This window comes from Homo sapiens, chromosome X, assembly GCF_000001405.40.
Source record: "Homo sapiens chromosome X, GRCh38.p14 Primary Assembly".
In the NCBI taxonomy this organism is placed as follows: Eukaryota; Metazoa; Chordata; class Mammalia; order Primates; family Hominidae; genus Homo; species Homo sapiens.
In genome coordinates this window covers 141,713,750-141,730,341 of record NC_000023.11, presented here as the reverse complement: position 1 = coordinate 141,730,341, position 16,592 = coordinate 141,713,750, and the positions used below count along the sequence as shown (strand labels likewise).

At 37.4% G+C, this 16,592-nt stretch overlaps 1 annotated feature.

Moving 5' to 3' along the window:
* Positions 14,733–15,932: an enhancer, noted in NCBI's record as "MED14-independent group 3 enhancer chrX:140802566-140803765 (GRCh37/hg19 assembly coordinates)". NCBI's record gives its function as "activates an origin of replication core promoter dependent on BRD2, BRD4, P300/CBP and CDK7 cofactors, and independent of MED14, by STARR-seq in HCT116 cells {active_cell/tissue: HCT116}" and the evidence as "EXISTENCE:reporter gene assay evidence [ECO:0000049][PMID:35650434]".

Sequence of the window (16,592 nt, the reverse complement as noted above, 5' to 3'; positions counted from 1 at the left end):
GGGCAATTAGCATTGTGCTTTCTTAACAACTTAAATATGACTCAAACTAAAAACAGCATATTTAATCATAAAAAAAAAAGAAAGTTCAAAATTACTTCCAGAAACAAGTGAAGGATGCTTACTGTTATTGAAAATTCTTTTGGTTGGGCGCGGTGGCTAACGTCTGTAATCCCAGCACTTTGGGAGGCCGAGGCGGACGGATCACGAGGGCAGGAGATCGAGACCATCCTGGCTAACACGGTGAAACCCCATCTCTACAAAAAATACAAAAAATTAGCTGTAGTCTCAGCTACTCAGGAGGCTGAGGCAGGAGAATCGCTTGAACCGGGGAGGCAGAGGTTGCAGTGAGCCAAGATTGCACCACAGCTCTCCAGCCTGGGCGACAGAGCAAGACTCCATCTCAAAAAACAACAAAAAAAAATATTTTGAGAGTACTCTAATGTTTTTGGAAAAGACAACATCATTTTTTTTACACATCAGAAATGAATGCAACTGACAGCAAAATTAATATATAATTATAATATCGTTCTTTCATTTAAAAAACAAGTTAAAAATATTACTGAATGGGATTCCGTGTGTGTGTGAATCTCAACCCAATAGTTCCAAAGTGTACCTGGAGGGAAATAATATGGAAGAATATCTATACAAAGACCAAGTAAAGTAGAGTAATGGCAGGGACTTTGCCCACTAGACATTAAAAACTACCCTAAATGCTATTGTAATTGAAAAGACGTTACCCAGATGCGCAGGCAGAACAATATAGCAGATTAGAGGGTTTAGACATTTAGACATATATCTAATCACATATTGTAATTAAGTATGTATTGAAGAAAACATTTTCAATCTTTAGGTAAAAGGTAGACTAATCAATAAATCATTTGGGGAAAACTGTTTACTTACTTGGAATAGTAATAATAACAAGACAAAGTCCAGCTAACATTAATAATATGCTTAATATGTTCCAACATTTGCTCTAAATTCTGTGAACTGTCATTTTCATCACAAACCTGTGAGTTAGGGAGTATGATTGTCCCTTTTCACAGATAAAAAAAAAAAACAGGCTTCAAAAGGTTAAGTGATTTTTTTCAAGGTCACTTGGCAATTAAGTGATGGAGCTCAGACCTTAATACAAGTCTTTCTTATTATATAGCCTAACCACTAGTTACTAAGCTTGATTACAGTACCTCACTCCAAAGCTCTCAAATCAATTCCAGATAGATCAAATATTTAAATGTTAAAAATTAAATTATAGTTGAAGGAGTTATGTATGAATGCTTTTTATAATCTTGATGTAGGTCATGGCTTTCTAAACCTCACTAGCATACCAAGAACTTCTAAAAAATGATAAATATGTTGACATAAAAATGTAAGTTTTTTTTTAGCTAAAAAATACCATAATGAGAGTTAAAAGGCAATCTGGGAAACATACGTGTAATACATTTGACAGATTAATTTTCTTAATATTCAAAGAGCTTGTATAAATTAAAACTAAAAAGATGAGTAACATTTTTTAAAACTGAGCAACAAACATGAAAAGCCAATTAAGAATTGAAAATGCCAAAATAAGAACTGAATAAGCCAAAATAAGAATTGAAAATTGTTAGTAAAAATGAAAAGATGTTCACCTTCACTATTTATCAACAATTTAGATGAAAATGAAGGTTTTTTTACCCTTCATAGTGATAATTAAGAAAATATTAACAAAGATGGAGGAGCCTGAGGTCTCCCGCTTTCAGGAAATGTGTATGATGTGGGCATATCTGTGCACTGGTGGGAATGCAACTTGTCCCAGCCTTTCCAGAAGGTGAATTAGCATTGTTCTTCAAAACTGTTTAAATTAAACATTATTTGGCTTAACAGATCTTGCAGAAATATTTCTGAAGATGATAGCAAAAAATGCATAAAGAGTTTGCACAAGCATGATCACTCCAGCATTGTTTTATCGGGGAACCTCTGTTAACAAACCACCTAAATTCCAATCAAGAAAAGCATAGCTTAGTAAAGAACTGTAAAGCCATGAACCGTTCATCAGCTACGAAAATAGTGATGTAAATGGAAATAAAAAGGCATTTACGAGACATTCATGAGTAAAAGTAGCAAAGTCGCAGATAACATATACATTATGGATTTAAATGTGTAAAGGCATGTGTGTGCACTCCTGTGCACATATATGAATGTATGGCTAAAATAATCTTGACCTTCATGTTCTCTCATTAAAGTCTATTTCCAGTGTTTCTCATTCAAAGAAACAACAGTCGGCTGGGCACACTGGCTCACACCTGTAATCCCAGCAGTTTGGGAGGCCGAGGCAGGCGGATCACCTGAGGTCGGGAGTTCGATACCAGCCTGACCAACATGGTGAAACCCCGTCTTTACTAAAAAATACAAAAATAAGCCAGGCGTAGGAGACTGAGGCACGAGAATCGCTAGAACCCGGGAGGCGGAGGTTGCGGTGAGCCGAGATGGCGCCATTGCATTCCAGCCTGGGCAACAAGAGCGAAACTCCGTCTCAAAAAAAAAAAGAAAGAAAGAAAGAAAGAAACAACAGTCTATCATTGCCAATATGCACAAAGCAACTTTATTTTTCATTTCCTACTTTTGAAAATGTGCCAGAGTGGAAAATACATTCATAATGCACAGAAGAGCTTATTACACAACTTCTTCCTCTTTTTGTTTATCTCTGTCTCCCTCTAGATCTTCAGTGCTTCTTCAATTCATGTAATCAAAAGTACGGCCTTAGAAATATCTGGTACATTGTGTATTATAGGTTTAGTCACCATAGGGAAAGAAAGAGAGAGTAGATTCTCACTCCCAATGTCTTTCCCCAAATTTCCAGGGTCAAAGCTTATATTGAATTAATATGGCAGCTCCTCTATTACTCAAGTATGGGTAGCAAAGAAATGGAATAGAATGACTGACAGCAATTAATAGAAAAAAAATGTTCTGTGCAGATATAACTACGAAGATAACTACAAACAAAAATATATATTCTTAATCAAATCCTCCTGGTCATTTCTCAAGGAAAAATATATTAATTTGGGTGCATTGTAAGACTCTCTACTTTGCAATTTTCTTAATATAAGAGTAGATTGAATACCATCAGAAACAAAGCTTCTAGCACTTTCCTGTAAAACTTTCCCATATGTACTGTAAGGACTTATGGCATGTTAAAGATTTGTGCTATGATATAGAATTGCTTGAATTATCTGTGTAAATTTTTACATGCTTTTAGACCAGACCTGAATTTTTTAGACCTGGACACTATTGGTAACTTGAATTGGATATTTTTTTTTTCCTTACTGGGGGTGAGGGTCTGGACTGTGCATAGCAAGACCACTGGCAAAATCCCTGACACGTACCCATTAGATGCAACTAGTATCTCTCCCTGTCTCCTCTCACCCCAGGTTGTGAGAGCCACAAATGTCTCCAAACATTTCCAAATGTGTGACATGGGATAAAACTGCAACTCATTGAGAACCAGTGGAATTGACAGATTCTTTACACGGCACCAGGTTGTAATAACAAAATGGATCATGTCAAAAGTAAGCACAATAATGTTGAAGCTCATACAATAAATACATATTTATTTATAAAATTCATGAAAGGTTGATCAGATAAAAAATCATGAGAAAAATGTCATTATCAGAAAAAAAACAAACACTGATAAAAATGTTATCCAGAACTGAAAAATGCAGCTATCAGGGGTAAGGAACTGACAGAATTCAATTAAATCTAATTAGAAATATTCTACAGGGCAAATAGAAGACTACTCAAATTTATGTTTTAATCATTTTTGGTGTGTTTTTTTTTTCATTCTTCAAGGCAGAATATGCTTAAGCTCATACTGGGCTTATTTCTGTATAATTCTAGAATGATGAAATGAATCAGAGAATTGCATAAACTCCCTGGTGAATTCACCATCTGCCCATGCCCTCTGAATATCTTCTATGACTGAAGTCACTGAGCAAGTGAAGTTGAAGGTATAGCAGAACAGAAAGAAACAATGAGAATAGAAAATAAAGAGAACACGCAAATATCAAAACACTTGCTGATTTAGGAGCCCATACTGCAGTCTTGCTTTGGGGATATTTGTCAATGTGCCCAAAGCTTCCTCCAGCTTCAGAAGTACTTCTTGCTGTGATGAAAACCTTTGGTGATACACATTGCCATCAGATTCATCTTTAGCACAAAGAGCTAGCTGAATTAAACAAGAGCAAAAGAAAAGAAAGTTCTAAAGTAATGCTTTAGTAATACTAATGCTTTAGTAATACTAAAGTAATGCCATTGTTGAACTGGCCAAGCCATACATAAAGAAAAACTTAGAGTACACAGACCTAAAGTTATATTATTGTTCAAATGCTGGCTTCAACAGTGATTTCCAAGTCACTTTCCTGTGATGGTTGCTTAACCTAATCAAATACCTTTAACAGGCCATTTGTCCATCTACCATCCTCAGAAATACATGAAAATTCTTAATTCCCCTCTGTTCCCCATCCTTTGTGAAACATTCTCCTATAGCTAAGAAGCCTCATTAAAGATCTCTGTGCATTTCATAAAAGCAATACATTTGATAACTTAAAACACAATCCAATGTGTATTTTGATTGGTGTCAATATACTGGCTAGGATGCTGTGATAATGTAATCACACATAAAAATTGGAACAAATAGGTGAGAGTAGGATCTTAAATCTATCCAAATTCATAACTATCATATAACTTTTATTCATTAATGTTTTCTTCATTTCTGTCATGTTCATATGTAGAACATGATAGTATTCATGTATGCTTAAGATAGCCAATGCTGTTCTTAATAAGCTACAGCCAAAAACCTGTCTATTTACTTCTCAAAATTCTCAGCTTAATTCTGACTGAAACAAAAAAGATTGAAGCACATAAGTAAACTCCACTTCAACAGAGAGACATCTTTAGGCGAGGCATGAACAAAATTAGTTCTGACTATATTGATCCAAACAGAAACAGGAAGAGTGGAATTGGTCACACACAAAATTCTTCATTGCTCCATAGACCAGGGCTCATCAAACTAAGTTCTCTGGGCTAAATTCAGGCCACAATCTGTTTTGTAAGTAGAGTTTTACTCTAATGTAATCATGCCAATTAATTTACATATTATCTACAGCTGTCTTTGTTCTGTACAGATAGAGTTGAGTAGTTTTGACAGAGACATTATGGTCTGCAAAGCCTAAAATATTTACTATCTGGCCCTTTGTAGAAGATAGTTGCCAATTCCCGGCATAGAATATCAAAGGGAAGGGTTTGTAGAAATAATCCAATCCTCTCATTTTAAGAAGGTGGCAGAAATGGGAGCACATAGCTTGTCTAAAGTCACACATCTTGTCAACAACAAAGTAGTTACTAGATGCCAGGTTTCCTGATGTCCTTTGGGAGAAATGGATATTGCCTCCCAGAATTACAGCTAAGGTTCACAGTTATTCAGAGTTCATATTTCAGCCTCTTCTATTATTATAATTCACCAAAGTTTTTGGTTTTTTAGATAGAAGAGTGAAAAGACAAGTCTGTGCACTAATGGTTCTTTGCTTTTTTCTGGAGATTAGATGAGACAATGTACATACGTCTGTAGCCCAGCTCCCAACCCAAGTTAATTTCCTTTCTACATTCATTTTTCCAGATGAGGAAACAGGTTTGACAGGTGGAGTGACTTGTAATGAGGACATATATGCAATAAGAGTTAAAGGTAGAATTCACCTTCCATGTTTAAGATTCCAAGTTCAGTCTTCATTCTATAATGCTAAATAAACAATTTGAATACAGATTATTAGGATTTAGGAATAAGTTGGATTAATGGTTTTTCTTTTTGCTGCTTATGAATGGTTTCTTAACTAGGAATGTCAAAAGTCCTCTCTCTTGCACTGTAATGTCCCGTGATGAGAACAGGAAGCAGAGAAGCACCCACATAACTCTAAGTTGTGGTGAGCATCTACATTCCTGTGCTTTGCACTTGTAGTTTCTAAAAGTAAAGTATCCTGTCTGTAAGCAATAGCAAGAGTAAGTTAATGCATAATGAATGATCTAAATAAAACAAATCTCACATGGAAACGGGGTAAAAAACCAACTTCCTTCACGCTGGTGGCTCTCACTAAAGCACCTCTCTTCTACTTCTACATACTCCCCTGTGTCATTGCATGCATTTTAGAATGATAGATCACTTTGCACAAATGTGGACCAAGGCATAAGTGTAGAAGGCAAGAAAACTAGCAAAGATAATACCACAAATATTCAGTGGAGAGAAAATGAGGTACTGAATTAAACGAAAATAAAGCTAGAAAAGATGAACTTTTTTGAAGATATTAACCCAGTAAGAACATTAAATCCTTTCTAAGACAACATGGTGGTGAGGGAGTGATAAGCCAACAAAAATTAAAGATAAAACCCACACAAATTTTCATTATGACTTTGATAGAAATGGTGGAGAGGTACAAAGAAAAGTTAATGATGACTATCAGTTTCCTAGTGTTGCTGTAACAAATTACCACAAACTTAGTGGCTTAAAATAGCAAAAACGTATTATCATACAATTCTGGGAGTCAGAAGTATTAATGGATCCCATTGGACAAAAATCAAAGTACATAGAGCTATATTCCTTTTGAAGACTGTAGGGGAAAATCTGGATTATTTGCCTTTTCCAACTTCCAGAGGCCACCCACATTTCCTGGCTCATGGCCCCATTTTCCGTCTTCAAGCCAGCAATGTCAGACCATGGCCTCTCACAGTGCCATCTCTTTAATTATCTTTTATTCTGTACGCTTATTTCACTTTTAAGAACCCGTCTGATTACTTTGGCCATACCCAGATAATTTTCCTATCTGTTGATTAGCAACATTAATTCCATCTGTAACCCTAATTCCTCTTTGCCATGTAATGTAACAGATTTATAGATTACAGGGATTAGGACATAGATATCTGCAGGCAGGGTCAACTTTTCTGCCTACCAGAGTGACTTCTCAAATACTTACTTGGGCAACTGAGATATCATTGTAGTATAAAACATACATTTCATGCTGAGTAAAATCTAGAGTTCTGATAATGTTCTATATGGCTCTCTATGTAGTTAAGGACTATGACCGTGAATATACACTGAATTTGAGTAATGTTACTGCCACTTAATAGTTTGGTAAATGTATATATATGTGTATACATATACATATATATATATATATATATATATGTATACACATATATATATACACATATATATGTGTATACATATATATATATATACACATATATATGTGTATACATATATATATACACATATATATGTGTGTGTGTGTGTATATATATATATATATATATATATATATATATAATCTCACAGGTTCAATTGCCTCATCTGTAAAATGTGAAAACCAGCTATCTCTGACAAATAAGAGTTATGGTGAAGATCAAATAAGATAATGATACAGTGCTTAGCCTAGTGTCCTACTCAAAGAATTTTAGATACTAATTAGCACTGAATAGTAATGCAGGTGAAGGCAAGTTGGGATTTAATTTTTAGTATATAGATTTCAGTTATGTGAAAGACATCCAATCCCACCTCCTGTATTATTCCATTCGCACACTGCTATGAATAAGTACCTGAGACAGCGTAATTTATAAAGAAAAGAGATGTAATTGACTCACAGTTCCGCATGGCTGGGGAGGCCTCAGGAAACTTATAATCATGGTGGAAGGCACCTCTTCACAGGGAGGCAGGACAAAGAATGAGTACAAATAGGGGAAATGCCAGACACCGATAAAACCATCAGATCCTGTAAGACTCACTCACTATCATGAGAACAGTATGAGGGAAACCTCCCCCATGATCCTATTACTTCCACCTGGTCCTGCCCTTGACACATGTGGATTATGGAGATTACAATTCAAGATGAGATTTTGGGTGGGGACACAGCCAAACCATATCATCTCCCTAGAACATACTTTTCCACTCACCTAGAGGGCCATATTATACTTTCTTTTCTCTTTTCCATTTTTTAAAAGCTCTTTGCCCATGCTCATCCTCTGCAAAAGATAGAAACAGCCAAAATTTTCCAAAGCTCTTACTTCTTCATCTAGACACCCACCTGTGACTATGGCCATGTATTCTACCTTCTTTCTTGTTGCTATGTGTAATTGTCCATGATCCTGACTAACTACAGAGCTCACTGCCATTTACACACTAGGTTCTGTCCCTTATTGCCTATTCAAGCAATATCCCCTTTCTCGTCTGCATCATCAAATTCTTCCCTGCTATCATTTGAATGTGTTCCCAAAGTTCATACGTGGAAAACTTGGTTCCCAGTGCAATAGTGTTGGGCGGTGGGGTGTAATAAGAGGTGATTGAGTCAGGAGGGCTCTGCTTTTATGAATAAATTAATGTCATTATTACTGGAGTCAGTTAGTTATCATGAGAGTGGCTTAACCTCACCTTATCTTGCCTTTCTGCCTTTCACCAGGAGATGACACAGCATGAAGCTCCCTGCCTAGATGCCAGGGCCATGGTCTTGGTCTTCGTAGCTTGCAGAACTGTAACACAAATAAATTTTTATTATACATTTTCCAATCTATGGAAATTTATTATGGCAACATAAAACAGACCAAAAACAACACCTCTCTGCTAGATCATTGCCTTTAGCATACAGACATTTCAATATTGCTCTCACTGTGTTCACAAAAAAGCTCCAACTGTACCTCATTTTAACCTGCAACAAATGTCCCATTTTCTTTTTCTCTTGACAGAAAAACTCCTTGAAACAGCTGTCTGTATTCCTTGCCAGAATTGTATCTCTTCTTGTTTTCTGTTGAACTATCCAAATAAGCTTTTTACCACACCACTCCACTGAAACTGCTCTTATCCCAGGTTGCCAAATAGTATTTCTATTGCTAGATGCAGTGATTATTTCTGTCTTCGTCTTATTTGAGCCATCAGCAGGATATGACACAGCTGATGACTCCTGATTTCTTAAAATACTCTTCTCACCTGGCTTCTAAGACATCACACTCATTTTGTTTTCCCTGCGTTTTCGACCAGTCTTGCATGTCTCTTTTCCTAGTTCTTCTTCATACTCTGCCCCCTACACGTTAGAATATTTCAGTTCCAGGACTTGAATTATTTTGCTTTCCTGTCTAGTTTTACTCACAAGCTGATTGTATTCAGTCACATGACTTTAGACATTTATCTGTTGATGACTTCCAGATTTATGTCTATAGTCTAAACTGAAATGCACATTCTTATATCCAACTGCCTAATCAACACCACCACTTAAAGGTTTAACAGGCACCTTAAAACATCCAAAAATGAGTTTTTGACAATCTCCTCTAATCTGAGGATTAATGTAATACAAGTATCAATCAAAATTTAGTCTGTTAGTCTTCCCTATCTACTCTTAGTCTTTTCTACAGTGGATGGTAATTCCAAATTTCCTGTTGCTTAGGCCGAAAACCTTGGACTATTTTTTTTTTTGAAATGGAGTGTCACTCTGTTGTCCAAGCTGGAGTGCAGTGGCGTGATCTCGGCTCACCACAACCTCCGCCTCCCAGGTTCAAGCGATTCTCCTGCCTCAGCCTCCCGAGTAGCTGGGACTACAGGTGTGCACCACCATGCCTGGCCACTTTTTTGTATTTTTAGTAGAGACAGGGTTTCACTATGTTGATCAGGCTGGTCTTGAACTCCTGACCTCATGATCCACCAACATCGGCCTCCCAAAGTGCTGGGATTACAGACTTGAGTCACAGTGCCCAGCCTGGACTAATTTTTAATTCCACTTTTCTTTTCAAAATGTACATTTAATCCATCAACAATCCTGTGGATTCTAACTTCAAAATATATGCAAGAGCTGACAACTTCTCGCTATCCCTACTCATACTATCCTGGTTTCAGCCACCATAGTCTATGACCTGGAATATTGCCAGTAGCCTCCTAGGTTTTCCTATGTCTACAACTGTGCTCTCAGTCTGTCCTTAACATGCAAGCTATAGTGATCCTGTTACATCCTGTTAAATCATAAGTTAAATTATGTTATTTCCTCTCCTAAAAACCCCCTCCATGCCTTCGTATCTCACAATAATTAAAATCCAGAATGTCACATAGGTTCTATGTCAATAGTGCACCAGCAATTCCTTAACACCCAGTTTTATATTAAAACAAAAATACTGCATATGGGTGTGAGTGGTGTGACACCCACCAGTATACATATGCACACATATTTATATTTAAGGTTTATTGTTTTAAAGAAGTACTAGCATATAATTTACAAATATTACTCAAATATATAACACTTTTTTGAAAATATCGAAGAACCTATTGATTCTTACAAAATGCTTTTATTGAATTTTGCCAAACTCTTGTTTCCATAACCAAACTATGGCTGCAGCTGATAAATGTGTTTAGTTTCTTTTCTTTTCTTTTTTTTTTTTTTTTTCATTTTTGGAGATGGAATCTCCTCACTCTGTCGCCCAGGCTGGAGTGCGGTGGCGGGATCTTCGCTCTCTGCAACCTGTGCCTCCCGGGTTCAAGCGATTCTTCTGCCTCAGCCTCCCGATAAGCTGGGACTGGATTACAGGCATGCACCACCAAGCCCAGCTAACTTTTGTATTTTCAGTAGAGATGGGGTTTCACCATGTTGACCAGGCTGGTCTCGAACTCCTGGCCTCAAATGATCCGCCCACTTCGGCCTCCCAAAGTGCTGGGATTACAGACGTGAGCCACCACGCCCAGCCATGTGTTTAGTTTCCACATAAATGTTGGTTGATATTTGTATGTGTTTTAATGAGTAAGATAAAAGTGAAACAACAAAGATATATGTTGGAACATCACTGGTTCATCAATGACAGGAATAGCTTCTTCATTGAATCAGATAGTAGTTTTCAAATAGTGGAAAGATATTTTCTCAGTTTTTTACTATTCACAATGCAATGCCTACAGCCATGACACCCTTTTAGGTTTAATCTGCATTGTTAACATTTTCTCCATCATATTTTTAAGTGTAGACGATCAGAAAAACAATAAACTAGCCCTTATTTGAAGCATTTTTAAATTTCCCTAGTGTAAATATTCCCACCATGGTTGATTTCAACGTGATGTCACTAAATGCAGAAATATTACTAGATTTTTAAAATGCTGCACTGCCATCACACATACGATAAATCTATACAAGCTGGAGTCGTGGTTACCTGTTATAGGACACATGTTCAAGGTCATTCTTCTGTAGAGGAGTTGAACTGCTCCCTGAAAAATGGTAGCTGGATAACAGTAAGAGATTACAGATATAATTGCAAGGTGTCAGAATCAACCTAAGAACTTCCTGTGACTTTGATTGAAAGGTTTGAGGCTTAGGGGTATTAGAATATCTATAACTACAACACAATTTTACATATCTGGAATTTGAAACTTTTATGTTTTCTCCAAGCCTTTGTTAAAGTCTGGTTAAATTGTTTCAACACAGCCTCATCTTACGCTGTAGAGAACTGAAGAAAAGGCCTTTTTCTATACTTGTGGAAAAACAGTAAAGGCAAGAATGGCAGCTGAGCAATGGAAGCAAGTTGGGAGCTGGCAGTAAGGAGATAACAAGCTGGAATCAGACAACTGGTTGAGATAAAAAATGAGAACAAGCTGGATGAGTGAAACATGGACAGATTCCTTTGGGATTTCTAGAGTTACATGAGGAAAGGAACTTGGTAGAAGACAGAGCTAGTAAAATGTTGATAAATATTAACTGTATCATCTTGTGATGATAATGGTGCAGAGAAACTGGTACCTTTGAATACTGCTGGTAAATTTTCACAGGATTTTTTGAGAGGAAAATGATAATATTTATTAAAAGCTTAAGGAATTTATACCTCTGGACTCAGTAATTTCACTAATAAGAATTTATTTTAAGGAAATGTTCAGAGAGACACAGACTTATGTACAATATTGTTGATAATAGCATTATTTATGAGCAAAAAACCATGAAAACAGCCAGGTGCGGTGGCTCACGACTATAATCCCAGCACTTTGGCATGCCAAGGCGGACGGATCACTTGAGGTCAGGAGTTTGAGACCAGCCTGGCCAACATGGTGAAACCCTGTCTCTACTAAAAATACAAAAAATAGTCGGGCATGGTGGTGCACATTTGTAATCCCAGCTACTTGAGAGGCTGAGGTGGGAGAATCGCTTGAACCCAGGAGGTGGAGGTCGCAGTGAGCCGAGATGGCGCCACTGCACTCCAGCCTGGGCGACAGAGCCAGACTCCATCTCAAAAAAAAAAATACAAAACCAAGAAAACAACTTAAATTCTATGCAGATGAGACTAGTAAAATAAGATATGGCATATCCATATAATGCAATACTACATCGGTATTATAAATCATATTTTCAAAACATATTTCATGACATTCAGAATTTACAAAAAATAATATATAGTATCAAAAGTAGGATACAATCCACATGTACCACGACTCTAGTTTTGTTTAAAAAGAGTAATAATAGCAGAATAATAAAATAAAATGTCAGCACTGGCTATAATTTGGAGATAGAATTTTGGGTAATTTTTAGTTCTCTTTCTTTTTTCAACTATTCTAAAAAATATGTAATTATAAATATAATGTTTTTGCCATGATCCTGTATTTAAAAGTTTGTATTTAATATAGTACATATACAGAGAATCAAACACATTAGGAGGATTTATCTTGCTGAATTTTCACAAATTGAATGAACCCCATGTAACTTGCACCATGATTAAGAATAAGATATCACCATCACTGGTCCTCTTCATGCACCCCAGAGGTTTTCACTCACTAACCCTCCCAATACATACACGAACGTGCACACACACACACACACACACGCACACATACACAGCCTTTTCCACCTAGGGTCACAATTATTCTGAGTCTAACAGATTATATTAGCTTTACCTGTTTATACAGTTTACACAAATACAATTATACAGCATGTAGTCTTCTTTTTCCCAACAATTTAAGTTGCATTTCTCTATCTATGTTTCAATACCTGCTATGATTTGAGTATGTCCCTTCCAAAATTTTGGTGTTGCCAGTGTGATGGTTTTAAGAGGTGGAGCCTTTAAGATATAATTAGGCCTTGAGGGCTCCTCTCTCACGAATGGGATTAGGTGCCCTTTTAAAGGGGCTTGACAGAGGAAGTTCTTCCTCTCTTGCCCTTCTGCCTTCCACTATTGAGGACACAGCAAGAAGGTCCCCATCAGATGTTGGTGCCTTCATCTGGAATTTCCCAGCCTCCAGACCTGTGAGAAATAAATTTCTGTTCTTTATACATTACCCCGTCTCAGGTATTCTGTTATGGTAGCCCAGACAAAGGCAATGAACTAAAAGGAAAACATGAGGCTGGAAATAACAATGAACACTTCTTGTCTCCTGCAATGTCCTTTGTGAATGAGTAGCTCACAACACAGCTACTCTTTCTGAAATGTCAGGATTGTTTAGTTTCTGGACAATTCTCCAAATCATCATAAACTGATCAATTAAAATACTACTGTGGCACTATTCACAATAGCAAAGACTTGGAACCAACCCAAATGTCCATCAGTGATAGACTGGATTAAGAAAATGTGGCACATATACACCATGGAATACTATACAGCCATAAAAAAGGACGAGTTCATGTCCTTTGTAGGGACATGGATGAAGCTGGACACCATCATTCTCAGCAGACTATCGCAAGGACAAAAAACCAAACACCGCATGTTCTCACTCATAGGTGGAAATTGAACAAAGAGAACACTTGGACACAGGAAGGGGAACATCACACACCGGGGCCTGTTGCGGGGTGAGGGGAGAGGGGAGGGATAGCATTAGGAGATATACCTAATGTAAATGATGAGTTAATGGGTGCAGCACACCAACATGGCACATGGATACATATATAACAAACCTGCATGTTGTGCACATGTACCCTAGAACTTCAGGTATAATAAAAATAAATAAATTTTAAAAATAAAAGAGAAATAATAATTGTGATAGCAAAAATAATAAAACGTAAATTCTCAAGAGGAAAAGACAATCTGTGGGAATTTATTTTAAATTTATACATTAGATTCTACATGAAGATAAATTAGTTGAGAATAAGGCAAATCAATAAATTTTATATAGTAGCTACTATTTGCATGTACCTGTTATATGCTAGGCATTTTACATATATTGTCTCATTGTTTAACCTTTACAATAAACTAAAGGATTAGAAGATAATATTCCTATACTACAAATAAGTAAGTCTCTGAGAGGTTTTCTGCTCAAGATTGCTAAAATGCAGAGAACAGTATTATAATCCAGGTTTCTCTGATTTTAGAGCCTGGACTGTTTCTACTGTGATGCTTACTGGTAGTTATTTCAGGAAATTGTGTTTTTATTTCACTTCCTTTTGAGTTCACATAGTAGCATCTGATTTTGATTCAGAGTGTGATTAACCCAGGGAACTTTGAGCAGTAACAAAGTGCTGATTGTCAGGAAGGCCTGTTTATACCTTACCTGTTTTACTTTAATCAGCAATACACTTATAAATTATGCATCAATTTATACTGATAATAAAATTTGAATTTTTTAAACATCCTGGATTCCACAACAACTGAATGCATTGTTGCTTTTCAGTTAGATGTGGCAAAAAAAATGCTCAGAATTATTGAAATGACTCTTTATTTCATCAGAAACCACCTTTCAATGTTCAATGAATAACACACCATTTCAGCTTTGTCATGCTCCCGGCATGCTGTGCAGGTCTGCTTGTTTCCTGAGGGCGTGGGGTAGCCATGCAGTTTTGGATGTCAAGGTCTCAGTCATTCAGTCTGGCCTAGGCTCTGGGCAGCTGGGGTCGTGATGCTGCAGGCAACCATATGCACCTGGTGCACGATGGTGGGACCTCAGAGATGAAGAGAGTCCGTTGCTACTGGTCCCCAGAGCAGGATGCACTGTATTAGTGGGTCCATTTCAAGATGGTGCTGAGTCATAGCAGTTTAGGTCGCTGGTGCGCAGGGTGCTCATGTTGAGCTCCTACTCTGAGGCAATGCAGCTACACAAACTCCTAGCTACTCTCCAAACTGGATTCAGAGACTGTGAGGACTGGGGGACTCTCTTGTAGCAAGGATTGTTAATGTTTGTGGCATAAATGAGGACTACTGTGGATCTCTAGCTTACCTTTTAACTGTAAGATTAATTTCCTCCTGACTCTGAGCTGATCCCAATGGGGGAGACAGTGTTGCAAAGGCAGGCTTCCTCATTCCCCTCTCTATGGTGTTGTCCTGGATTTCATTGCTCTGTGGGGTTTTCACCACTCCCCTGGTCCACTCCAGAGTGCTTCCTCGGTCACTGTACTCAAAAAATAATTGTTTATTTGTTTTTTGTCCCTTTTTGTGGAGAAAATGGGCACCACTTAACTCTTGTTAGCCATCTTGGTGACGTCACTCTGTACCCTGGTCTTTTAAGTGGCCATAGTTTGCCCATTTCTATTATGGAGGGAGAGAAATAACCCCAACTGTGTAACATTATTTAATCACATAATTATTTTGCTTTTTTTCCTAGATTAGCCAACTGTCTTTATGGCCACTGCTTGTTCTACCACCCGGGTCAGGCTGGCAGAACAAGCAGGAACATTTCTCAGCAGACTGCCTGCCTTCTGACTTCCTCATTCACCAGAAGCCAGGAGACTCGCTTGTCCTACAATTTCACTTTGCTTCCCTAATAACCATCTCATTGAATCCTTTAGACATCTAAGTCATAGGACCACTAGTTATCTTTCCTTGTCACCAGCAGTCTTGAATCAACACTGTTAAAACCCACCTTTAGTGACAAATAGCAAATTCAATGTGCTTTCCAGAGGTGAGCTGATAAAACCACTCATGTAGGTATATAAATGACTGGCAGAGTTTAATTTATAAGCTTTCATAAGGGTTTACTCCCCCAAAATGTGTATGTGGTGTGTGTGTGTGTGTGTGTGTGCGTGCGTGCGTGTTTCAGTGTTATTTTGGAGAATCATTTCATAGATGACTAACCCTGTCTCTGTTAGGTAATCATCCATTTTTAATACATTTTTTATATCGTGGAAGACTCGGACCTCTTCACCAATAGATATTCATTGTGTGAAATTAAGCTTTTAACATTATTTTTCTCATGAGGCCAAATGAGTGTGGTTTTAGAGTTAGGTTTACTGCACCTCCTGGGACAGATCAGGCATCTATGCACGGACTTCCCAGCGGACTGCATTTTAGCTTCCTGGTTAATCAGAAATCTGCAGCTTGTTTTGTCCTGCCACCGCGCTTTCCCACCACAAGAACATGACTGATGCCTTGATCTCAACAGATGTAAGACTGTATAAGTGATAAGACACTTTCATATTCACTTAACATTGAAACTATAACATAGATAGCACCAACTTGATTTTAGTAGAGAAGGAAGGGAAAAGGGACAAGTTAAAAAAATCCTGTTTCTCAGAGAGAAAGAAGTAAAAGAAAAATAAACTTTAAGGCAGGTGCCATTAATTGCCTCTTTCCCGGAGGGAAGTGTTTAGAGAGCTTGAAGCTAACAGGAGAGAAGATAGCTAGATAATGGCTACACATCTGTGGCTTCT